This window comes from Homo sapiens, chromosome 11, assembly GCF_000001405.40.
Source record: "Homo sapiens chromosome 11, GRCh38.p14 Primary Assembly".
Taxonomy (NCBI): Eukaryota; Metazoa; Chordata; class Mammalia; order Primates; family Hominidae; genus Homo; species Homo sapiens.
In genome coordinates this window covers 12,207,929-12,233,693 of record NC_000011.10, presented here as the reverse complement: position 1 = coordinate 12,233,693, position 25,765 = coordinate 12,207,929, and the positions used below count along the sequence as shown (strand labels likewise).

At 48.4% G+C, this 25,765-nt stretch overlaps 1 protein-coding gene and 1 long non-coding RNA gene across 24 annotated transcripts in view, besides 2 other annotated features; one reads left to right on the top strand and one right to left on the bottom strand.

Annotated features, from left to right (window-relative positions):
- The window catches only part of MICAL2 (microtubule associated monooxygenase, calponin and LIM domain containing 2), a 251,551-nt gene that overhangs the window by 128,447 nt on the left and 97,339 nt on the right, over window positions 1-25,765 (bottom strand). For 21 of the 22 annotated variants that reach the window (NR_144419.2, NR_144417.2, NR_144420.2 and 18 more), the window contains 11 exon segments: window positions 25,555-25,671; window positions 24,096-24,197; window positions 20,284-20,439; window positions 17,375-17,475; window positions 13,236-13,493; window positions 11,935-12,050; window positions 10,951-11,077; window positions 10,193-10,283; window positions 8,874-9,021; window positions 7,324-7,523; window positions 6,563-6,669 (listed from right to left, as the gene is read on the bottom strand). Coding sequence is in view for 16 of the 22 variants with exons in the window: in NM_001393937.1 (NP_001380866.1) it covers window positions 6,563-6,669; window positions 7,324-7,523; window positions 8,874-9,021; window positions 10,193-10,283; window positions 10,951-11,077; window positions 11,935-12,050; window positions 13,236-13,493; window positions 17,375-17,475; window positions 20,284-20,439; window positions 24,096-24,197; window positions 25,555-25,671 (1,523 nt within the window). In the remaining 6 variants the exon portion in view is untranslated. 22 annotated transcript variants of the gene reach the window in all.
- LOC124902634 (uncharacterized) lies at window positions 9,330-19,212 on the top strand. 2 transcript variants are annotated; one of them, XR_007062598.1, is made up of 3 exons: window positions 9,330-9,584; window positions 10,570-10,674; window positions 19,155-19,212. It is a non-coding gene; the product is annotated as an uncharacterized LOC124902634 (long non-coding RNA). The 2 variants fall into 2 exon arrangements; XR_007062597.1 differs by lacking the exon at window positions 19,155-19,212 and adding an exon at window positions 12,781-12,891.
- Window positions 15,822-16,322: an enhancer, noted in NCBI's record as "H3K4me1 hESC enhancer chr11:12238919-12239419 (GRCh37/hg19 assembly coordinates)". NCBI's record gives its function as "activates a minimal SCP1, AML or CMV promoter by ChIP-STARR-seq in naive H9 embryonic stem cells {active_cell/tissue: H9 hESC(naive)}" and the evidence as "EXISTENCE:reporter gene assay evidence [ECO:0000049][PMID:30033119]".
- Window positions 16,323-16,823: an enhancer, noted in NCBI's record as "H3K4me1 hESC enhancer chr11:12238418-12238918 (GRCh37/hg19 assembly coordinates)". NCBI's record gives its function as "activates a minimal SCP1, AML or CMV promoter by ChIP-STARR-seq in naive H9 embryonic stem cells {active_cell/tissue: H9 hESC(naive)}" and the evidence as "EXISTENCE:reporter gene assay evidence [ECO:0000049][PMID:30033119]".

Sequence of the window (25,765 nt, the reverse complement as noted above, 5' to 3'; positions counted from 1 at the left end):
TAAGAATACTTTCTTATCATGATTTCCCAATGATTTGAAAGAGTCTATATACCAAAAGGCATTTATTAAACTAATTGGTTTTCCTATTAAAAAAAATCAAAGACGTAGATATCTGCCAATCTGAACATTTATTTGATCAGCACAAGATAACCATGTTCCCATACTGCCCGAGTTAATGTGATTTTAGCTCAAAGCAAACAAACTTTATATTTAGTTAGCTGGTATAGCCTAGCCCAGGAATAATTTAGATATGGGTCATAGGAAGAGAGGTTGACCATTGCAGGCTATGGTTTTGTTGATTTGGGCAGCAGCTATGATAGTCAGGAAGACGGCCAGTGATAGCAAGAGAGCTCTTTCTTCAAGGAATCATGGATTTGAGCATTGGTACTAATTATTTCCCAGCTGTGTGATCTCAGGAAAACCATCCAACTACTTTGACTTCAGTTTCCTTAACTATAAGAAGGGATCTTATATTGTTTAGTTCATAAGCTGTTGTGAGAGTAATGAAATCACAGATGTAAAACACTTCTTAAACTATAACGTGCTAGACAGTAGTCTCCCCTCATCCATGGCAGATACATTCCAAGGCCCCCAGTGGAATCCAGAAACCATGGATACTGCCAAACCCTAGATATGCTGTTTTTTTGATCTGGTAACTGAGACAGCTAAGGTGACTAATGGGTGGGTAGCAAATACACCATGGATATGCTGGACAAAGGGATGATTCACATTCCAGGCAGGATGGAGTGGGATGCTGTGAGATTTCATCATGCTACTCAGAATGGTGTGCAATCTAAAACTGAATTGTTTCTGGAATTTTCCTTTTAATATTTTTGGACCATGGGTGAACACAGGTCACTGAAACCCTAGAAAGCAAAACTGCAGATAAGGAGGGCACTACTGTACAAGTATTAGACACTATTAGTGAGGCTAGTGTTAGTAACATAATTTATTTTATTTATTCTCTTTTTGGGGACAGGGTCTTGTTGTGTTGCCCAGGCTGGAGTGCAGTGGTGTGATCTTGGCTCACTGCAACCTCTGCCTCCCAGGTTAAAGTGATTCTCATGCCTCAGCCTCCCAAGAAGCTGGGACTACTGGTGTGCACCACCACGCAGGCTAATTTTTGTATTTTTAGTAGAGACAGGGTTTCACTTTGTTGGCCAGGCTGGTCTTGAACTCCTGGCCTCAAGCAATCTGCCCACCTCAGCCTCCCAAAGTGCTGGATTACAGGCATGAGACACCGTGCTTGGCAGAGTAACAGAATTTTAAACATCTGAGTTCTACTTCTGGCTTTGACATTTACCACCTACATGACTTATCAAAATGTAATCTCCCCAAGTCCAAGTTTCCTCATCTAAAAACTGGCATGAAAATATGTTCCCAGCCTTCCTCCAAAGGTGACATGAGGAGCAAATGAGATGTATGTGAAAGTGTTTTGTATGCTGCAAAGGGCTGTATTGATTGTGGTTGCAGTACAGAACCAAGTGTTCAAGCCAGATCATTTTACTCATCTTTTGAGAAAACAAGCATCTTCATTTAATCATCATTTCTAAAGGAAAAGAACTATCATTTACTAAGCACCTTCCACCTGCCAGACATCGTGCTCAGACCTGCCACACGCATTTGATCACCTCATCTTTGCAGCAATACAATGGTGTACATGTTGTTACCCTCATTTTTCAGACAAGCAAAGGAGATTTCTGAGAGGCTAGAACATTTGCCAGACCCCCAGCAGACGTAAATCTGTGTTTGTCTGCTTGACTTCTAACTGCATTCCCAATCTGTAAATCAGCTCTGAATCCTGGACTGAGATTGCGCTGAGGAAAGGAGAGAGAGTAGCTTCAGCCATGACCTGCGCGCACCTGGAGGGGATACTCCAGGGCCCTGTGCTGGCCCAGCCTTGGAAAGCGGCACTCTTGACTCCCCTAAGCCTTCTTCAAACCTCTGCCATGAGAAGTCCTGGAAACCTAGTGGGGAGCTTTGGCTGCTGGGCGTGTGGTTCTGTGAGAGAAGTTGGGGAAGTGAGGTGAGAGGAAGTTCGTAAGTCCCACTAGAAGGTAAGCTGCCTACGCAGGGTCCTCGCTTGTTTCGTTCACTGCTCCATCCCCAGTACTGAGGAGAACTCCACATAAAATAGGCACTCAAGAAACAGTTGTTGAATGAGTAGATGGAAGGAAGAGGCACCTTCGCACGTAATGCCACCCGGCTCTTCGGAAAGTGTGCAGGTGGCTCAGGAAGAGGAGGGTTGGGGAGGGGGACCTGGACCACTCAGACCACACACTGACAAAAATGTCAGTCACATTTTGTGAATGCCACTCTGTCAGGGACCAGTGCTGGAGGAGGAGGAGGACCTGGTTGAGCAGGATCAAACCTGGGGCTACCCATCTGGCTTCTGGGATGAGCTCTCCAGGGACAAGTAACAACTTCTGTTTTATCCCCCAAGGAGTGGGCTCAGAATGGGACAAAAATTGGTGTTCTGCATATGTGTACAGTAATGACCGTAGTGGCCATAAGTACAGGTGTCACCATGTGTGGCAGGTCTAGGAGAGTACTGGTAGGTATTGTGAGTCTGAGGGTGTATGTCTGTGTGTGTGCCCATGCACACAGGCATGATAGACGCCCTGGTTATATGTCCAGGTGTCACCTACATGCATGATGACAAGAGCCCTGGAGCCCCCAGGAACTGTCCCATGCCATGAGGCTTTTAGATCCTCACCAGGACCACAGACAGATCTGCAGAAGCAGACCAAGGGCCTTTTAAGAGGAAAATATACTCCCCAAGCTCTCCTCTTTCCAGGCATGGGCTGCCCAGTTTTCAGAACTAATCAACCCACTGGGTTACCACTCATGGTGGGAATGGAAAAGTTACTCTCTTTAAAAGTAAATGAGATCCTTGATGGAGAAAAAGCCTTTCATTTTGCTTGAAGTTGATACATCTTGCTTGGATTGCATGTTATCAGGAAAATAAGATGGGGGGGGAAAGAAGAATTTAACATCGTCAGTGAAAATCAGGGAGGGAGGTTCTTAAGCCTGACTCAGCAGAGAACCAGCAGATCCTCTTCAGATGAAGATGCCACATTGTAAATAAATGTGCACTCACAGCTCAATTCCCATATCAATATATTCCTCTGGAAGACAGAGAGGAAGTTAGGGAGGGGCAGGGAGGAAGGTCAAATACGGATGCACCTGTATGTACAGATATTGTCTGTGTTTGTGGGGAGGGCTATTGTATAGACTCGTGCAAGCATGCCTGCCCTGTATCTCCACTCCAGAAGGGCTGATGAGCAAGGTCATTGAGGGTTGCGTGTTTTGTTGTACTGATATCTTGGTGTAAATGTGAGGGAGCCTTTATGTACAGATGTGTAATTGTGTATGGATTTCAGAGTCTTACGTGCAGACATCCCCTGTGGCTGTGCAGGACCAGACCGAGGTGGACTCACTGTTCTTTGCTAATGGGAAATGTTGAGGTCAAAGAGCATTGCCATTCGGTTCCCCAAATCAAAAAAGCATTCAGATACAACAAGGTATCTGGTAGGATGGGAAGAAGGTACTTTCTACGTGGCCCTGATCACTGTGCTGGCATTGAGTGGTAGACAGAATGCAGAGGTATTTCAGTGATGGCCAAGGCACAGTGTGGTGACCCAGTAGCCTTACGAAACAACCTAACCCACCCACAGGAAGTGCTCCATCGCTCTGAGAGAACAAACAATGCCCATGCCAGGCACTTAACTCAATGGCCAAATATCTCTACCTATCCAAAGATGGGGTAGAGTGCAAGGATTAAATGAGGCTGTGGGAGAGGACAGATCTGTGGGCCTTGACTCCTCTCAAAATGGGCAGCCAAGGGACACACCCTGAAGAAGACTGAACAAGATTCAAAAGGGGCCAGAATTGGGCTGGGCAGAGCCCTCTACCACAAGCATTTTCTAGCAGAGCCAGAGGGAAGTGGAGTGAGGCCCTCAGCCCTTGGGAGGCCTGGCTAACCTTGCTGATTCCTGACTTTTAACCATCCCCAGCTCCCAAGCCAGTGCTGGCCAGGCTGTTTCAATTCTGTCACTCTGTAAATAGAGGTGTGGTGAGTGAAAGGTGGAAACATCCCTCTCCAGTTCCCTCTGAGGGCCAAGTGGCAGAAACGCGGTGAATGGAGAAAGGCAGTAAATGTCTGTCTCGGAGAGCTTCCAGAAACACTGACTGGCTTGCCTGGGGCCAAACAGCCCAAGACAGGGGTCCTTGGGCTGGAGGTAGAACAAGCTGACCGCTGGTACCCAGAAGACAGCCCCATTTACTCAGTGGGAACATGGCGGACAATGCAGCCCTCACACAGAGCCTCTAGGTTGGGCCGGCTCAGAGTGGGAGAGAGGCTGGGTGCAGCTCATCATTTTAACTGCTCTGTTGCCATCTTCCTTGCCCAGCTAAGGCCTTGCTAGCCCATTCCTTCCTAGAGATAGGGAGCCACAGAAGCATGAAGTATCCTGCTCCTGGGGTTGGCAAAACAGCCGCTGCAGCATCCCAGGGAGCAGGGAGTTCAGGCCTCAGTGGAAAAAGTGACCACTGCTCACACAGCCCAGGGAAAGGAGGCTGGGTGGCCCCATCCCACCCTGCTAGGTATGGCTGCCTTGGCCAAGCTTAAATAGACTCTTGGCCACCTAGAGAGACTCAGAAACTTGCAGAGGCTTCCAGCCCACTGTCCTGTTGGTGGAGGGCACCCTGCCATCCTGGAGAGGGCAGGCAAGCTCTGGGCAGGTACTTACAACTGCCCCTACCCCAAGCCACCCCTGCTCCCACCAGTGGCTTCACTCTGGTCCTATTCTCCTCCACCCATCTTCTCTCCTCTGCTCCCACTGACCACCCCAGGAACTCCCCACTCCAGTCCTAGAACTCTGACATTTGCCATCCGCCCCAACACATCCAAATCCCATAGCCTGTCCTCAGCCCCGACCCTGGCTGGCTTCCCTGTCGCCTGGCATGGTCTCCAGGGCCCATCCCGTAGAAGCGCTCTCCTCCGTGGGCTTCCCGACTCCCTCTCTGACTTTCCAACTGCCTGTTCCCCTTCCCATCTTCTTTCCTGGCTGCTCTGCCTCTGCCAGCGCCTCAAACTCCCTTGTTCCCCAAGGTTCGGACTCTTGGTTCTCAGTTTTCTCCCTATCTTCCCAGCATCTATCTTCCTAACTGGACTCCAAGGTCAAGGCTCACATTACTTCTGTATGTCCTATAACTGGATACACAACAAATGCCTTTCAATGAGTTGATTAATTAGTGTGAAGGAAGCATGGGGTAGGGGCAAAGTAATGAAGTACAACGGAGTAGCAGGTGACCTGGCCAAGGCACCTAGCCTCTCTAGGCCTCCAATTTTTTGTTTTTTTTAAGTGGAATTTCACTCTTCTTATCCAGGCTGGAGTGCAATGGTGCAATCTCGGCTCACTGCAACCTCTGCCTCCTGGGTTCAAGCGATTCTCCTGCCTCAGCCTCCCGAGTAGCTGGGATTACAGGCACCTGTCACCACACCTGGCTAATTTTTTGTATTTTTAGTAGATACGGGGTTTCATCATATTGGCCAGGCTGGTCTCAAACTCCTGACCTCAGGTGATCTGCCTGCCTTGGCCTCCCAAAGTGCTGGGATTACAGGCGTGAGCCACCACAACCATAGGCCTCCATTTTTATCTGTAAAATGTGCACATTAAGCAAGAGAACTTGCATTATGCCTCCCACAGAGATGTTAGCACTCACACAAAACTGTCACTGCTCCTTAGGCATGTGATGCCCAAACTGTGTCCCATGGCACCATGTGAACTCACAGAGGTGCCACAGAATATTTTTAATTTTCTAGGAAAACACTATCATGTCTGTCAGACATCTTGAAAAATGCTCCTATTAAGTTATTTGGTCTTAACTACTTAATAAATGAAACTGTTAGGTATTTATTTTGGTATAGGCCCACCATGAAAAAAATTACAGAGACATTAAGGGTGCTATAAGTTGAGAAAGTTTGGGAACCTCTTTATTAGGCTCCGAGCTCCTCAAAGGCAAGGTCCATATATTATTCACTTCTGTATATTTGCTCCCCTCATCAGAAACAAAAAATATAGCCCTGAAGTTGACCTATAGGAGAGCCCAATATATATTTGTTGAATGAGTGAATAAATACAAATTAATGGAACAGATGTGTAAACAGAGCATCATCACCATGCACTTCTGCCACTAAACTGATGGCCGTCATGTTCCAGATCTAAACTGCTCAGCACAGTGAGAAATCATTTCATCCCCATCCCTCAGGAAGCAGAGCTGATCTGATTTACTTGTAAAAGCATTCACCAATATGTTCTATCAGCTCGCTACCATGTCCTTCCTATAACCACTTTGAAGTCATTGAAACTAGCTACACAGTGCCAGGAAGAACTTCCAAAAACACTCAGTCACTAATCCGAGTTTTACTAGCATCTTCCGGGAGCGCCTGATCCATGTAACTTACTAGCCTCAACAGGCTGAGAATGTGACAATCTCCGTTCCTCATACCCCGTCCATGTGCAATGGGAAATAAAACCGAAACCAGGCCAAAACTTACCCGTGGAGTCCTCTTCCTTGGAAATGTGAGGTTGAGATAGTTATTAGAAATGGATGATTTGGCCAAGCTGAGGTCAGCATTTTCTCCATAGTTTTTGCGCCAAGAATCTGTTGGGAAATAAAGCGCAACTGTGATTTGGAACCTGGCTCTGGGAAGTATGGCTATAACAAGGAGGTGTTGGCTGGGTGTGGTGGCTCACGCCTGTAATCCCAGCACTTGGGAGGCCAAGACAGGTGGATCACGAGGTCAGGAGATCGAGACCATCCTGGCTAACACAGTGAAACCGCGTCTCTACTAAAAATACAAAAAAAATTAGCCAGACGTGGTGGTAGGCACCTGTAGTCCCAGCTACTCGGGAGGCTGAGGCAGGAGAATGGCGTGAACCCAGGAGGCAGAGCTTGCAGTGAGCCGAGATCACACCACTGCACTCCAGCCTCGGCGACAAAGCGAGACTCCCTCTCAAAAAAAAAAAAAAAAAAACCAAAAACAAACAACAAAAAAACAAAAACAAGGAGGTGTCATTGTAACCAGGTCCCTCTAAAATAATTCTGTCACCCCAAACTCAAGATGTAAATGGCATACAGATCCACTTACATGCACAGGGGCTGGGTGAGTGGAGTCACCCCTGTTTGGCCTCAAAGTCAAGGGGAACACACTGGGCAGCCCCAGAACAGACCATACAGTGTTAGGAGCAGCCAGACTCAGAGACAGGGACAGAGTTGGCTCAAGGGGCTAAGCAAAACCTCTGTGCAGGTGCTTACCCACGGGCCTCAGTGGGGTGCCCCGGAAGAGCTCGTAGAACTTGGAGAGGTACATGACCATGCTGAGCTTGTCAGGCTCCTGGGCAGATGCCATCTCTTTGCCCGTGGTCACTGGAGGGATCCCAAACTCTCGCTCGGCCACATCAAATGCGAGCTGGTTGTTCTCCACAGCATCATCTTCATTCAAAGAGTCAAAGTTGCTAGAGAATCAAAACAAAGCAGAGAAATTCAGGGAGAGGAGGCAGAGGTGTGGCGAGCTGAGCACCTTCAGGTGGTAAGGAGCACTGAGGGTGACACTCTGCCAGGTGTCGGCAGGTTACAGGGGAGGAATAGTGACCCCAGCCCCTACTCCCAGTTCTCACCCACCACTCCACTGGTCAGGAAGGGACAAAATCAGACCTGGGCCATGATGACGTTATTGCTGCCTGGGCTAAAGCCATCAGAAAATGATTTAAACCTCTTGGGAACATTTATGAGCTATTTTACTTTTAAATATATCCCTTACTTTTTTTCTTTTTAATTACAAAAGTAAAATGGGCATCTTGTAAAAAACATCAAGTTATATAGCATATAAAGTAAAAAGGGAGACCAGGCGCAGTGGCTCATACCTATAATCCCAGCAGTTTGGGAGGCAGAGGCGGGCAGATCACTTGAGCTCAGTTCGAGACCAGGCTGGCCAACATGGCAAAACTCTATCTCTACTAAAAATACAAAAATTAGCCGGGTGTGGTGGTGGGCACCTGTAATCCCAGCTACTCAGGAGACTGAGGCAGGAGAATTGCTTGAACCTGGGAGGCGGAGGTTGCCATGGGCTGAGATTGCGTCACTGCACTCCAGCCCAGGCAACAGAGCAAGAGACTCCAGCTTAAAAAAAAAAAAAGACGGTCCATCCTCCTAAGGCCACCTCATTTCCTAAAGTACCAATTGCTAGCCCTTGGGTAGGTTTGCTGTCAGCCTTTTTTGTGATTTGCACCTGGCTGTGAAGTTCTGCTGCTGCTGATTTAAACACAGATGCACCATGCTTTAGCACCACAGTGTTTCCTCAAACATAACCTGATCTCCCCAATGACCCTGCTGCTATTTCTAATTTGTAGACGAAGAATCTAAAGCTCAGAGAAGGTAAGTGGCTTGCCCAAGGACACACAGCTTATGGATCTGGGTCTCAAACCTAATTCTATAAAACCCTCAAACTAGTCCCTGGAACTAGGTCTGGCCCATACTCCTCTCTTGAGGGTGAAGCTCCAAGGTGTGAATGCTCAAATTCCAAAGAGTGTGGTGATGGGGCTCGGGGGGGAAGGGTAGTGGGGGGTGAGGTGTCAAGAGTGCCATCACTAAGCCGGAGCCAATTTTTATCCTCACATATTAGGAACACAGATCAAACACACTGCTGACAGAGTAATCAGTGCAAAGGGAAAAGAACAAATGTTAAGAAAAATCTCAAATTGAAACACAGAAAGAGAAATATTGAACCAAGTAATGAAGATTCTGCATGCAGCAGAATGGCCTTGGCATCCCTCGTCTCCAGGGGCCAGCCTGGGCCCCAGACTCACATGAGCTCAGGCCGGAAGCGGTGGATGATGGCACACAGGGCCAACCCACTGCGCCAGGATGTGGTCAGGTCGGTGACGTTGACATGCTGGTAGCCCTCTGTCTGCTGCTGGCACCAGGTCAGGAGCTTGCTGGGCCGGATATCTGACTCTGCAAGAAGGAGAGCGCAGGCAGTGAGGCTCTGCAGGAATCTCACACGGTCTGCCCTGGCGCTCCCTTCTCATTGCCACCATGGCTGGGGACCAGGACGAGCGGCCCCAAGGCAAGGGGCCAGGGCAGGGGGCCACTGGCACGGGTGCAGCTCCCTGAGGACTGCTGCTTGGGGGCCTGGTCAGGAGTGTGGCAGGAGGGGAGAGGAAGCATGTTCTCTTCCAGCAGAGTTCCTAAGACCTACTGTGTTTAGGCCCTGCCAACAACATGCTCATCTAGTGGGGAAGATAGTCACAGAGGGGGTGATGATGACACAGTGCTGCAATGGAGGGAGAAACAGGGGGCTGTGGGAGCACATTAGCAGGTTTGCCTGAGTCTGCGCTGGGAGGGGAATTCTCCAAAGAAAAGTGTAATGGGGAGGTACGTTTGAGCTTGTTCTTTGAGAGCATCTAGGAACTTATCAGACGGAAGAAGTCATTCCAGGAAGACAGAAAGGACTGTGTGGTGGCTAAGAATCTAGAAAAACCTGCTATGTTTGCGTAACAGTAAAATGGTTGATTATGGTAAGTGGTTTATTACAGCAGTGGGGCATGTCGTGGTGTGTGGAGGGGAGGGAGGAGTACAGCTGAGTTTGCCTAAGGAAGGAGAGGAGGCAAAGCCTGGACAGGCACAGGTAGCCAAAGAGGTCTCTAAGCAGGAGAGCATCCTGAGCTGAGCTGGGCGCTGGGAGTTCCTCATTTAACCATCCCATCTCCCTGTGTTGAGCACTGGTCCTGTGTCCAGAGCACTGCTAGGCTCAGGATGATCAGGAAAAGGGTGAAGTGCATTAAGCTCATTATCTACTTAAGGGGACAAGGCCCCCATGCAGGAAACAACAGGAAAATAAGAACAAGTCCCAGTGAAATAATCCCCTGGTTCATGTTTACTGTGTGAAGCTCTCGACACACACTAGCTCCTTTCATCTTCATAATGATTCTCTGGGCAGGGGTTCTCTTGGTCTCACAGAGGAGGAACTGGAGTACAAAGAGGACAGGTGCCTGCCCATGACCACACAGGTAAAGGGGCAGAGCCAGGCTGGTTGCAGTGCCTGTGTCACCACGGTCACTGAGCAGTCCTCCTCCCCTCAAAGCTCTTCCCAGCCACCCACCAGGGTCCCAGGAGGGCCGCTTACCCTTCCTGGAGAGGTTGACAGATCTCCTCACCGAGCCCAGTCTCTCGAGAGGGTAGTGCTCCAGCTCCTTAGTGATATACAAATGCTTCACCTATGAGCAAGAGAGACATGCTTGCCCACCAGTTTTCCCCCAAATCCTAGTCTCAGGGCCCCTAAACTCGACCCACCCCCAATTCAGTGCCTGCCACCATTTTCCTCTACTGCTGGGAGGCATGACCTTCGGCAAGGGAACGCAGGCAACTTCAGTCATAGAGCAATGGGCCTCAATCTTCCACCCAGATGCAGGCAAACTAAGTGGGAATGTCTGTAGCTAATTTGTGTGTATGTAATTAGCTAATTTTAAAAATTCACACAATTTTCTGTTCTATTGACCAAAGAGGTTGAGAGTTTGGTGGCTTTAAATTAGTGGAAGAAGAAATGGACCCCAGGACCAAGGGTGGTATGCAGAGATCATATTTGGCCAAGTAGCTTATTTGAGACAGGTAAGATCAGCAATGCATATGCATAGTGACAATATATATAAATATATGCACATATACATATAAATCTCTCCCCCTACATGTGTTCTAGTTCTGTCCTGCGGGCTAGAAAGAATGCTGACTCGAGTGGGGAGAAGAACTGGTCCCACCATTAGGCCAGCAGGCCTTGGTGGCCTTAGTCCCAGGAATGGACCAAAATTTAATGTGACCCCCTCCCCACCACCTCTTCCCACTGTTCAGTGCAGAGTGATTCAGACAGAGCCCCAGCAATGGACTTGCCTGATGGGGCCTGACACAGTGTGAGTTGAGGTTTGGGTACCGTGTCCCTGGGTCCAACGTGTACTGCTCAAAGTTCTTGTTGATGTTCTCCGGGGTTGTCTGAGGTAACAGCCGGTAGAGACTTTCCCTGGAGGGAGGCGGAGCCTGGAGGTCAGGGATCACTTTTGCCACCTCAGGCCTTGTCCCCACCCTTCCCTACTTCCCCCTTCCTCTGGCTCAAGGGCTTCCTGGACATGTTTGTCTAACCCTTCCCTGAAATACCTGACTCTCCTGGTTCTTGAGATCTGCAAAGTGGGGAGAAGGTCAAAGGGGCCGAGAGGAAAGGGGCGCCTGGGTGACGGGGATGCTGGGCTCCTCCACCCAGGCAGGGGGAGGGATGCAGGGCTGGCAGCACGGTGGCCTGTGGTTTTGCCATAACCATGTTCAGCCACGCTGCCTCCTGCGGCCTGCTCCCCACGACCACAGGCTTCCACACCCAAGATTGTCAGGGCCTGCCTCCGCCCGCCAGCCCTGACCTCCCCCCGTCCACCAGCTGTCACAGCCACGTGGCCAGCAGCAGGGGTCTGGGAAGAAGCCCAGGATCTCAGTGGTGTGAGAGGCCTGGAAAGCCAGAGAATCCAACCCCCATCCAGGACAGGAGACTCAGCGCTGCCCTGGAAGATTCCCTTAAATAAACCTCTCTGGCTCTTCGGTGAATGAGCAATGCTGGGGAGCCCCAGCTGCAGGGCCAACCTAGATGAAGATTTCTCTTTGTCATCCAGGGCCCAAGGTCCTGGCCCCAGAGAAAGTCACTGTAAGAGTCAGATAATGATGGAGAAAGCATCCTTGGGGATGCTGATGATCAAATCAGGCCACACATGGGAAGGTAGAATGGAGGAGGCAGAGGCTCCAGGTATATCCAGCAGTCACCTGCGGGGTGATCTTGCCCCCTTTCCTGCCTGAGTGCCCTGCCCCCCAGTTAGGAGCCCTACTGTCAAAGCTCACCTTTCAGCCAGCAGCTCCAGGGGAGGGGTGCCCTGGTTCCAGCTCTTCACCATCCATGCCGTGTCAAAGGCTGCCAGGAAGCCACGGGCACAGCCTGTACCCATGGGCCAAAATGGCTGCAAAAGAAAACGTGCAAAATTCCAGTTGATTCTGATGACTCCCGATCTATGATCTCATTGGACCCAGCACACACTGATTGCCAGGACTGTGCAGGGCACTGGAGGGACAGAGAGGTGACAGGGCAGGGACCCTGCTACCTATGAGGATTCATCACAAGGTCAAATAACTATAGCAGAAGGTTAAATGTAAAGGGTGCTATGACGCAGGCATAGCAAAACTGCTTTAGGGCTCAGAAAAGGCGAGACGAATTCCCATCCTGGGAGAGGGAGATGGAAATCAGAATAAGCTTCTTAAGAGTTGCATTAAGCTGATTTTAACAAATGGATGGGATTCTGATCCTGAGCTACTTGGGAATGGTGTGGGCAAAGGCATGGTGGTTGGAAAATGCTGGCGCCTGATGGAAGAACAGCCGTCTGTTCTGGGTGTAACATGGAGCATGGGAGGAGGGGAGGGAGAAACCGAGCTGGGAAAGGAGTCTGGGCCAGAAGCAGGATGGGAACTGAGGGCTCAACCAAGGGCCTTAGGTTCAAGTCCATGCACAATAGTGCCCAAGGACCAAGTCAACCAAGCTGAGTGCTGACTAATCTGCTCCATGAGCACCCAAAGCATGGTTTGGAATTTGACTCTTAACTTGGAATAAATACATAATCAGTGCTCACACTAAAGAGAAAACTTTCTCCTTTCTGAAAACATTCATTTAATCTAAGGATCCTTGCACCCTTGCAGATTTTCTGGGAAGAATTTTCAGCAGGGAAGCTATGAATGGAAAGGAGACTTTGGGGCCCATAGGCCTCTCCTGCACTCCGTGTGATCTCAAAGGCCACAAAGGGCCGCCCACATGAGGAAGAAGTCTCGGCCCAGCTGAGGGTCCACACACTCTGAGAAGGATGGCTCATATGGCCCAGACCGGGGCTGCCTGATTTTGTACTTCATCAAAGAAGTCAGTGCAAAAGAGCCAGGAGATAGGAGAGAAGGCTCTCCTAACTACACAGAGGCAGAATAGGCTCCTCTGAGTGCAGCAACAGGACAGGCTCTGAGGCCGGGACAGGCTTGGCAGAGTCCTGCCAACTGGCTGAGAGCCTGTCCTCTCCCCGCTGCACAACAGCAGATACTGCCTGCCAGAATACAAACGTGGGATCTGTCTCGCAGAGAAACATGGGGGCTCCGAGCTCAGGCAGTACCTCAAGCAAGCTGTCACCCACAAGGGCCACGAGCAGCTGGTGCGCCTGCCGCTCCCGCACCAGGGCCGCGTTCTCTGAGGCATACATGCAGGTAAAGTCAAACATGGCCACATCAGGCTGCCCATAGTGGTTCATGGCAAAGTCTAAGGATGGCAGCTGGTAGTTGGTGGCAAAGTCTGCAGCTTCCCGGGCATAGGATAGCAGGTTGTCTTGGTTCACGTTCTCCGCACACAGCAGCATCTCTGTGTCGATGTAGTCCTGGGGAAGATGAAAACATGGTGCAGCAACCTCCCCCTCTAAAGGGCTAGCCTTCATACCCACCTCTTGGCAAAAGGACTTGGAATGGGTCCCTACAGTGAGGCTAGTCAGAAAAGACATATAAAAACCAGGACCAAGGGAATAAAGAGGAAATAAATCAGCCAGCTGTGAGGGTTAACACGGTTGTGATTAAGCATCAAATTTGGCATTGAGCTTCCTGGCATCCAAGGCAAAAGGGAAATGTGATATGCCCCAGAGCTCTCCTTATCAGAAAGAAGGAAGCGTAGAAATTCCTCAGGGGAGGCAATTTTTCCCTGGCATTAAATTCTAAAAGATCTGTCTCACGTAGGAATTTCAACAGGGCGCGTTGAGAGTTGTAATGAACAGTGCACTTGATAATGGTCTTGGAGCAAACAACGAGCACATTTCATAGGTCTGGTTCTCATGAGAACTTTCAGTACAATTAAGAGACAAAGGAGCCATCAGAAAGTGTGATTTTATAATAAATTCAGCTAAGCGAGTATGATCCAAATATGCCATGTTTAGTGGTCAAACAAGACCAGAAAAAGAAAATGGGAAACCTCTCACACTTTCCAAAATCAGTGACCCCTTTACTTGATGGGCCGAGGGCTCTCACAGCGTAGCTTTTTTTTTTTTTTTTTTTTTTTTTTTGAGATGGAGTTTCGCTCTTGTCTCCCAGGTTAGAGAGCAATGGTGTGATTTTGGCTCACTGCAACCTCCGCCTCCCAGGTTCAAGCAATTCTCCTGCCTCAGCCTCCCCAGTAGCTTGCTTTTGGTGCTAATTGTTATGCTTCTTTCATGGGGAGTGCAGAGCCCTGAGCTGCGAGGACTGGAATATCCATCCTGGAGGGACACTAGCAATGAAACACAGGATGTGAGGATTGAAGAGAGCTGGCAAGTTTAGTGTATCCCCAGAGTCCAAGCTGCTCACCGTGTGGCTAAAGAAACTAAAAGACCACCTTTCTCAAAGGTGACACAAAAAGTACAGACACCTGGAGTGGGAGGGGACCAGTGTGTAACATGAACACAGGCTTTGGGGCCAGTGAGAGCAACGGGTCAAAGTCCACCTCTGCTGTTTACTAACTAAATCTGGGCCAGTTATTTAACTTTTCAGAGTCTCCACTCTCTCATCTGTAAAAAGGGAATATCAAAACCTACTTCACAGAGCCACATGAGAAGATGGAATGAGTGTACACACGAAATCCCTAGCCCCATGTGGGAAGTGACCGATGAATGGGAATTCCTGTCCCCTGTAATTCATGCTGGCTCCAGATATGGCTTATGATGAAGTATATCCTGGACCCAGCCAAGGCACCCTCAATTACAAAGGTCTTGACAATCACAGAGTGCCGCATTTACAGCCAGAGTGACCACTGCCTCAATTTTCTGAGTAGCCATGATTTCAAATACCCTGTTCTGGAAACTCATATTTCCCCCATTCAAACCAAACCGCCCAAATTGCATCCAGCACTGGTCCAAGAGCTCTTTGTCAGGCCCCAGTGTCCAGGATGGAATTCCTGTTATTTGATTTCCTTTCTGATCCCTGTTTCCGCGGTCACATGATCACTTCTCTCTCCGAAGGCGTGGAGGTGAGATGGGGGAAGAGAGAAGGGAGAGGTCTCAAACACCCCCCCTTCAAAATATGACCCAAGCATCCCTAAGATGGAGTGGGTGACATTACACAGTGAAGACAGTGCCTGGCGTGGACGCCTCATGCAGGAGAGTGGGGACCTAGCAAAGGGAAGACACTAGGCTAGAGCTGGCCTAGGGCTGCTGTGGAGTCTCTTAGTGGCTGGAGGGTCCCAGATGAGTGGGGGGATGGAAGAAGGAGCAAAACCATAGGGAGCAGATGAGGACAAGGACAGGAGGACAGAATCCCAGCCCACACACGTATGGGCCAGCAGAGGCAGGGGCCCAGGGAGGCTCTGGGATGGGACATCCTCCCTGTGGGGAAGAGAAAGATGGGCACAGCTGAGAGCCCAGAGGCACGGCTGCTTGAAGAGAAACTTTACTCTTCCTTCGGTAGCCATGGAAAGAAGCCCAGAGATCAGCTGGAATCAATGGGGAAGCAGGAAAACCTCTTGTCCAGAGGTCAGTCATTCATTCAACAAACATTTACTTGGCACCTTCTGTGTGGCTATAGGAAGATATGGATCCATGTAGGGAGAGGAAAACAGAAAACTTGCCATTCCTCCAGGGAGCAAGAGAACAATGTAAATTTAAGCGGCTCAGGGAAGATGGGTTGGGAACTTGGCTGGACACCTGGACGCTCAGGCTATAGCTCTTGTTCCAATCAGGTGTCCAGCCTGTGGCCTCCAATTTCTTTCCCATCTTGTACCTTGAGGCTCCTCAGCACCAGCTCAGGAGCTGCTCCCAGGGGCCTCTGAAGGAGAAAGAAAGGCCTTGGTGAAGACAAGCATGGGCCTGGAGGGGCTTTGACAACCGCCAGGGAAGCGAGTTGCCATGAGCAAACACCTGGGATGACCTGAGGGTGACCTTAGCATCCCAGGAGGCCACGGTGCTCTGCAAAACACAAAACCCATCAAGCTTTGCCTGCCTGCCTAACCTCTCCTCTGCAAAGCTGCCCGCTACCCCTACACCCCTGCACCCCCCAGTTTCAGACTAAGGCGGCAACTTCAGGAGGCAACTTCTGTGAGGCAGAGGGAAGAAGGGGACGCCACCACTCCCAGACTGACAGTCAGCAGTGGGACACTGCTGAAGCCCATCGCCCACCCATCTGCTGGCGTGCTCAGCCCACTTCACCAAGCCCGCATTCACAGCCTCCGTCTACAACTCAGGCTCTCAGCAAAGACCTGAGCTGAAGTGGAGAAGGCCCACGGGGTGGCTGGGTTACTAATGCCACCCAGACGGCTGCCAGCACACGCAGGAAAGAAGATAGCTGCATTCTTCTCTGACAAGCAGCAATGAATGGCCACCGTGCTGCCTGGGCTCCAGGCTGACACCCAGACAGCAGGCTGAACTTGGGCAGTGTGATCCTTATCTTGAGGTTGCAGCAGCAGCAGTGACAGTGGCAGCAACTACAGGGGCTCTGGAAGGGTTGTACACCTGTCCGAAGAAGCTTCCAGTCAGGGGCCACTACTCCATGTTTCTTCCTTCCAACCCTGCTCCGTGCTTAAGCATGAAGTCGCAAGGCCACGAAGCAGAGGCCAGGAAGCCAGCAGGACAAAAAAGCCAGTGTGCAAACAAGGCTGAGAAGTTACAGAGGGAATCTACAAACCCACCCTCTGCCGGGCACTGTGCCAGGTGCTCTATATATATCTTCTGTTTGCTCCTTCCAAGAACCCTTTCAGGCAGAAACTATCATTCCTATTTTGTAGATAAGAAGACTGAGGTTCAGGAAGGATACACAGTTTGCCCACAGTCTGGAGGAGGTATGTGGCAGAGTCAAGATGCAGATCGAGTCTTTTTGACTGCATGAATAATGAAATTCCCCCACACTGTGACAAGGCTCCACAGCATGAAATTCACAAGTCAAAGGATGCCTATGTCTCATTAGGACAAGGAGCCCCCATCTGCCTCCAAATGACATGTGACCTCCCAGAGAAGAGGCAAGGCTGGATGAGACTTGGGAAGGAAAAGACTCAGTTGATCCACATTAACACCTGGTAAAGGTCTCACAGCAGCACACGTCCCTCTGCAGAAAATTCTCTGTGCATATTGGCGTGGGCTCCTTTATCCAATACTCATGTAACACCAAGAAAAAGAAGGGTGTAAGCTGGTGGCACCTTCCCCCCTCCTCCCCTCGCTCAGTTTCTGGCAGGACGACATCTGCCTTCACACCTGCTGATGTCACCAGCCCAGGTCGCGAAGTCGGGAAATCGCAGCCAAGAGGTACGTACGTTAATGATGACACCTTTGTCGAGCAGGCTCTGCTTCTTGGCTGTCATTACAAAATAGTGGGTGCAGTCCTTGTAGTAAACAATGTTCTCAAGATCTATGCCTGAAAAGAGAAGCATTCACAAGCTCAGTGTTACTTCCTCGGCACCAACTGTGTGCCAGGAACTGTACTTTGCCTCACTATTGGTCTTGTTATTTATCTGCAGAATATTCATGTTAGACCAGTTTTTAAGGCACACAAGGCTGGCAAAGATAAAACAGAGTGCCAGAATCTACCCAAGTCAAAGCAGCTAGCTTCTATAGTTCTATAGCGGCATTATTCCTGTTAAAACTCACAACGTCTGTAGGGGTTGTGGGCCAGTATAAGTTAGAGCCGGGTAATTGTGCAGAAAAGCCAAGTGCCGGCCATGGCCACAGAAGCTCAGCAATGACAGGGCTGGGATTTGAACCCCAGCCCATCTAGCTCCAAGTCCTGTCCACTGTGCCCTCCATGCGCCCATAGTAGCATAGAGCTGTGGGAATTCTCCAATGACTATGCCAAGGAATATTTCTACTGTTTCCCGGCTTGTATGTGAAAACCCGAGTGCAGTGGTAGGAACAACTCAGGTTAGAAGGCTGGGCTGTATCTTTTTGTGCTTTCCACCAATCACAAGACATTTTACACACTAAGTTCCTGCATTTAAAACCATGCTGTGCAATGAGAGCTTAGCTCCACGGTTCTCAAAGGGAGGTCTCTGGCCAACAGCATCAGCATCACCTGAGGACATACTAGCAATGCAAATTATCAGGGCCCTTCTTCAGACTCACTGAATCAGAAACCCTGGGGATAGGGCCAGCACGCTGTGCTTTAACAAGCTCTAGGTGATGCCAATTCATACTCAAGTGTGAGGCTGACTGGCTTATTTGAAGGGAGAGAAAGGAACAGGCACATGGCGACATATCAGCATTTACACAAGGCGTGCTGGGTAACCATAGGAGCACCTTTATTACGGTTAAATAGGAAACAGGCATCAATGCAGAGGGCCCCCAGGAGAATCAGGAAGGTCGCGACTGTCACTGTCTGAGGGCACTGTTGTGAAACGATGGCCGAAGGTGACAACCACAGCAAAGTTTCAAGGAAGTTCACTGAAACGTGGAAAAACCCACTCAATGTCCTGCTCTCATTTATATTGAGTGGCTTAAGTATTTATTTTCTTGGTTTTTTAGAGGAAGGGAGGGTTGGAGGATTCTCAAAGCATTCAAAAGGACACCATATGCTGGCAGGAAATATTCAAGCTTTTAATGGAATAATGCAATGGAGGTGAAACTGAGAGGGTTGTGCAGTGAGCACATACCCTCCAGGCCAGTGAGAAGTACAATCTTGCTCAACAACTAATGCCATTCCTAGGAAATGATGTTAAAGAAATAATTTAACAGAAGCAGTGTTATCTGTAACAGTAAATAACTGGAAGGCCTAAATCAGAGGTCAGCAAGTTGTGTGTGTGTGTGTGTGTGTGTGATGGACCAGCTAGGAAATATTTCTGGCCTGTGGGCCCTATGGTCTCTTTCATGATCTCTCATGGTGGAAGCAGCCATCAACAGTTATGTAAAGAAATGGACATGGCTGGGCGACAATCAGCTTTTATTTATGGATGCTGAAATTTGAATTTTAAATAAACTTCATGTGTCATAAAATATTCTGATTGTTTTATTCAGCCTATATATAAAACCATTCTTAGCTCGAAGGCAGTATAGAACCATGTGGCCAGCCATAGTTTGCTAATCCCTGGTTTCAATGCTTAGGCAGTGACAATACATCAATTTGATGAGATATTCCACAGCCCCTAAAAGTGACCACCAGAAGGATGATGTTTGGAATGTGACACTGAATGAGAAAAGCTGACTAAAGAGTGTGGACACTGCGATTTAAGCTACAGTCACATAACAAGCAAGAACGCTGGTGGAAAATTACAGAAAAGGAGTAGGTGAGTCTGAAGACTATTCTCGTGTGGGGCGGTCAGATTGCGGATGATTTATTTTCCATATACAGATTTTATTTAACATTGTTGTTACATTGCTTTTCAAGGAGAAATCTGTGTTTTTAATCAGGTTAAAAAGAAAGGAAAAGTATCTGGAATTTACTTAATTGGAGAGAGGTGACTCGTCCCCCTTTCCCCTCACCCTGTTTTTCTCTGCCGTCCCTATTACCACCTGATGAGTCACTGGTTTATTTGTGTATTGACTGTCTATTCTCGTAGAATATAAGCCCAGGAGGGACGGATTTTGTTTTGCTCACTGCTCATTCTCAAGCCCTAGAACAGCATCTGGCACACAGTAGGCATTCAATAAATATTGAGTGAATGAATCAATACCTCCTATCCTCTAGGCCCATGGCTGGGTGACAACTGGTGCCAGTACAGGTTATGTTCCTGGGCGTATCCAGATGTCCTTCTTGGGGAAGGGCAGTGCTGTATTGCACAAACTCACCCGGGAACCTTTAGGAACCATCCATAGGTGACTGGCTCCCTCCTTAGCATTCCCTAAATATCATGCTGACCTCAGGTGCGGTGCTGGCCACCTGCCTTAGGATGGTTTATACAGATATCCCTTACTGGACAGGGAGCCACTGTGGGAAGGATCGTGTCAACCTTCACTTTTTACCCAACACTGAGAATTGGCATGTAATGAGCACTCAGCAAATGTCCACTATCTCCTTTCATGTACAACATCCAGAACATTCCCTCAAGAATCTCTCTTGTCCCAGAAGGAATCCTGTCTGTATTCACTATCCTAGGGAAAATCATTGCTTCCACTCTATCAGAGTGAGTCCCTCGAGGCCCAAGAGCCCAGAAAGCCAGCACACGCCTCTGCACACTTTAGAAACTGCAAACTTTAGACCTTGGCCTGGTTGGGAGAAAGGTGAAGGTCCCACCTGTTTCTTCTTTAAGGTCCTGAAAAAATTTCTGATTGAAGATGAAAGCCACACCACTAATCTCTTCCACCTTGGCTTCCGCTGTGCTGTTTCTGTTTATGAAGTTGGCGGTGATGGCAATCGCCAGCTTCCCACGGAATTCTTTTCTTCTGAACCCTGCATGAGGAGAAATGAAAAAGTGGGTCTATCTTCTGGATTTGGTGTGAAAACTGAAAATGATTATTGGGAGAGCTGTTCCCAGATGCCTCCCAGGCCAGTGAAACCAGGATTCTGGATCTCTAGTGGACAGGAGCGGGCAGAAATACCGAAGTTTGCTCCCAAGGCTTTTAAAAGTCAGTGAGACTGTCCGTTTCTAAAATCTACAGGACCTGGTTAGGCTTCAATAAACAAAAGGAAAAGCGATCCTTCCCAACAGGCAGTCACAGGGTGTACCCTTGTAAGGATGTGTCAGGCATTGTTGCTAGATACACTCATGAGAGACCCACATGCACTTTGAATTTATAGGATGAAAACTACTCTGTTAGCATTTCTTATGGTGCCACCGCTCCTGACCCCCTTGAAAAGTAGATCACATTGAATTCCTGCAGGACAGGGATTTTAACAAATTTTCTTCATATCTCCAATTTTTTGGGTTGTATTATGTGCCTCTCCAACACACACACACACAAATTCATGTGTTGAAATCCTAACCCCAGTACCTCAGTATGTGACTCTATTGGAAATAGCGTCATTGCAGGTGTAATTAGCTAAGATGAGGTCATACTGGAGTAGGGTGGGACCCAGCTTACTCCAATATGACTGGTGTCCTTTGAAAAGAGGAAAATAGTACACCAGTTCCCAGTAACTGGCATTTAATACATCTACAATGCATGTATAAATGAATAAATGGAATTCTAGCTCTCATTCGTTTTTTGTTTTGTTTTGTTTTGTTTTTCAGACAGGGTCTCGCTCTGTTGCCCAGGCTGGAAAGCAGCGGTGCCAATCATGGCTCACTGCAGCCTCGACCTCCCAGGGTCAAGCGATCCTCCCACCTCAGCCAGCAAGTAGCTGGGACAATATGCATGTGTCACCATGACTGCCTTATTTATTTTTTTTTAAGTGTTTGTGGAGACACAGTTTCATCATGTTGCCCAGGCTTAGTGCTCTAATTCTTGTTTTCAATGATTTACATTAAAATTGCTCTTGAATGGCAGTGCTATGGAGGATCACAGCAGCTGGTGCAGGGTAAACGCACCTGACAGCAATAACTGAAGCGCACCTTTAGAAAGACCCTGTATGGCTGATGCACCTGAATGTGTGTTCTGAGCTGGGGAATCCAGGAGTGGCCAACCCCGAGACTTCTTCTTTGTCTATGAGGGACATTTGAGCTCCTGGCCCATCCCGTGGAACATGGACCATGCAGGGGGATCCAGGCCCTGAGTTCTGGGTTGGATGAAGGTTGCCAGGTGGAGGTTAAGAGGAGGGTGTTAAGTGAAAATGCTGAATAAACTGCATGCTGTTTGCAAGCAGTTGCGGTTTTCCTGCCCAGGTTGCCACCACTGGGCTGTTGTGCTGTCCAGCCCGCCGCCATTGGACCGTTTCTGCAGGGAAGCCGGGTCTCCTGTCCAACCCACTGCCACTGGACTCTCTCCCCTGTGAATCCCTAATAAAACCCCATGTCTATTTTGCTGGCTCTTGGGCTCTTCTTTGGCCTCTTGAACTTGGTACTTTCCCTATTGAGGTTAATAGGGGTTCCACACAACAGATGGCCACTTTTCAACAGTGTGTCTCCCTCCTAGTCCCCCATCTTGCTGTCATCTGACCTTTCCTGAGTGCCCCTGCCCCCAGGCATGCTGTGTACTTTGTGTAAGGCCAGGTGCCTGTCACACAGGTGCAGACCTCCAGACATAACCTTTCCTTAGCCACCTTTGGGAATGCCCCACACATCTGCTCACCATGTACTCCAGCCTCATGCTGATTCTCACTCATCTGTCAAAAATCCCTTTTAGTGACAACCTTGGGGTTTTTTTTGTTTTGTTTTGTTTTTTTCTGAGATGGAGTCTTGCTCTGTCACCCAGCCTGGAGTGCAGTGGTGCGATCTTGGCTCACTGCAACCTCCACCTCCTGTGTTCAAGCAATTCTCCTGCCTCAGCCTCCCGAGTAGCTGGGACTACAGGTACGTGCCACCATGCCCGGCTAATTTTTTGTGTTTTTAGTAGAGATGGGGTTTCACCCTGTTAGCCAGGATGGTCTCGATCTCCTGACCTCAGGTGATCCGCCCACCTCAGCCTCCCAAAGTGCTGGGATTACAGGTGTGAGCCACCACGCCTGGCCAACAACCTTGGGTTTCCATTCAATAGTCCTCTTTTAAGTTGTCCTTCATTAGACCTTTGTCAAAAGGGTCAGAAATGGCCATTATTCTCATCTAGCATTTCTTAGCTGGAGGTGATTTTGTTCCCAGGGGCCACTTGGTGATGTGTGGAGACATATTTGGTTGTCGCACCTGGGGGTGCTGCCAGTGTCTGGGGGGCCAGAGGCCAGGGATGCTGCTGAACACCCTACAATGCACAGGGCAGTCTCTGTGACAAAGAATGGTGTGGCCCCAAACGTCTGCAGTGTTTATACTAAGAAGCCCTGCTCTAGTTTACCCATTTGGCCTTGAGTGGCTCAAATGGCTCCATCACTCTCCACCCTTCTTTCCATGTTCAAGAAATGCCCAACTATACTCAAGCTGAAAATGGGTCCTGGATTCTCAAATATTCTAACTTACACTTTTACCAAGTGTAAAATTCCAACAGTACTACATCCAAGTTGGCAGCTTAAACATTCCCTGTCAGATATTGATGACCTATGGTTGGCGAGGTGGGTATGGAAAGGGAAAAGGGAGTGGCAAACAGCCCCAGTTATGTGGCAGATGGGAAGGTCCTGAGCCAGGCGGCCCACAGATCCTGAGTTTTCTAAGATTAGCCCTGTTCCAGGGAGCATGTCCCATCCTCAGAGTGACGTATCCTCTCAGTCAGGCATCTGCAGCCTGTGGCTCTTGAGGGGGCAGGCTCAAAAAGCAGAACTGCCCTATTTGGGGCCATGTTGTTTATAACCCATGGTCTCAATTTAGCATGGTTAATATCAATGAGTACAGCCTGTGGATGGATCAGTCTTGGTGTTGAGGTGGAGGGGACGGAAGCATTTTCTGGCAATGGGGTTTCTCTCACAAACTGACAGGATCTTACCCCACGAAAGATACTATGCTTCAGCTTTAGAACTCAGAGAAGTGTGGCCTTTGTACCTTGACAGTTTGGCAAGACATACCTGCCTGCCCAGCAGTGCTTAAAAGTTACAAAAAGAGGTGAGTTCCTCCTTCAAGTATAAATAATATTACACTTGAAAGTAAGCGAATACCATTAATAGTATTATAAAAATGTTTATCTTAGCTGAAGTAAGTATGAAAGTGCTCGGCACCATGGCTCACACACCAGGAGGTGCTCAATAATGGATGTTCATTTTTCCCCCATGACACTTTATCTTTATAAAGCATTTTCACATACCAGTCCTTTCCCAGCCCGCATAACAACACTTTGAAAGGGTTCTGTGATCCACATCTTACAGCTGAGAAAACTGAGGTTCAGACGGAATGAGATGGCTGTCCCCTGAACTGCCCACCCCACAGGTGGATGGGCTGTTCTACCTCAAGAGGGACAGGATGGTCTGCCCTCCTATCAAAACCTCCATCCAGCTCTGGCATCTGCATCTTGCCCACTTTCTCCAACTCTTCCCCAATGTACCCTCTCCCATTCCCATCCCCCCATTCCCACACCAAGAAGAAGAGTCTTCACCTTCCAGGGTGTTCCTGCGGCCATCGGCACCAATGATGACGTCAAACTCAAACTCCGACAGAGAATGGTCTGTAGGGAGAAATTCTGCCCGCCAGCCAATTTCTACCAGGACAGAGAAATGAGATGAGTTGGCAGAGAGAGGTGGGAAGAGAATGATTATACCCCCCGTGTGGTGGCTATGAGAAATGGACAGTGCAGCCAGGTCTGTGTATCACAGAGAGAGCCTCCAGGGGAAAGGCTAGAGCAGTCCAGATTCACTCTCTAATCTGGTGTCCTCTGACCTGAGTGTCAGTTCAATCCAGGATGAAGTAAACCAGCAACACCAACTCCATGCCTGGTTTTGTTGGCCTCCGCTAGGAGTCTATCCTCAATGCTCCATAAACTACTCTCATTTGCATCTTATCATTCTCAACAAAGTCCACCATCTTCTCTTCACATTCTCCCACATTCTTCAGTGCCTCTCATTGCTAAACAGACCCAAAAGGATATGTAGGGTGTAAGGAAACCACTTTTAATTTCTATTGTATGCTCAAAATGTTCTGTTGTACACTACACTGTCTTTTATTTAAAAAAAAAAATCAGGTGAAGCCTGGCTAATTAAGATTTAATGTCCACTAGAGGTCTGGAAAAGGTTAAGAGTACACAGTCTCTGAATGCCAAATAGTGAATGCTGTCCTGCTCCAAAAGCTAACTAAAGCCTCCCCTAAATTCTCAAATAATCTGGGCAGAGGACAGGAGAAATCAGAAATGTACCCTAAGCAGGAAACCACAAGGTCTCTGACACTAAGCTGGTCCCAAACTCAAAGCCCTTCCCAGGCGGTAGATACTTTTAATAATAAGTAAGATGCAGAGGCATCCTGAATAAACTCTCTGACCATGGTGTGTGTAAGGGATAAGAATTTAAACAAACATGCTAAAAGGAAAAAAGAGAAACATTATGATATGCCTATACGGGCAAATATCATAGTTTATAAATGATACCTCAACATGGTTAAGAGTATTATATACCAAATAACATCTTGAACCTTATTTCACAGTTGCTCTAGAAGCTTCACTTTACTGGATTTTAAAATGTGCCATGGGTACAAGTACAACCACATCTATGTGTTAAACACACACACAGCTTGAAGAACACGTGAATGAACCTTACCAAACAACCAAATCTATGTCTTCTGTCCTATTTATTGATTAGATTTCCTTTGCCAAAGTAGCAACCCCTTGGGACAGGGTAACCAAATTACAGGTTTAATGGCTTAATCATAAATCCCCTTGGAGCCAAACAGCAAACCTAAAGTCATAGCAATGGTAAAAAAAAAACAGTAAAATACCCTTCAGTGGCATTATGCCAACCAGCTCCCAGTAAGAATAACTCCTACAGAAACACCCTTTGGAAGCAGCAAGTGGAATTTCTATTTTGTAGTATCTGCTTTCTAGGCAGAAAAAGAAAATTATACTGTACTTTGATTTTCTTGATCTTCAGGAGGCTCTAGAACCTTCACGAACTCCACATTCACATGGATTTCAACTCCCAGCATCAGGGCCACCTTGAATAGGATGAGCTGTAGTTGGCGAATACCTGTCAGGCAGGAAGGAGAGAGGAACTGTCACAGCAATACCTGAACACCACCTATATGCAGAATGCTACATAATCACTGCCGCTCAGTGACCTT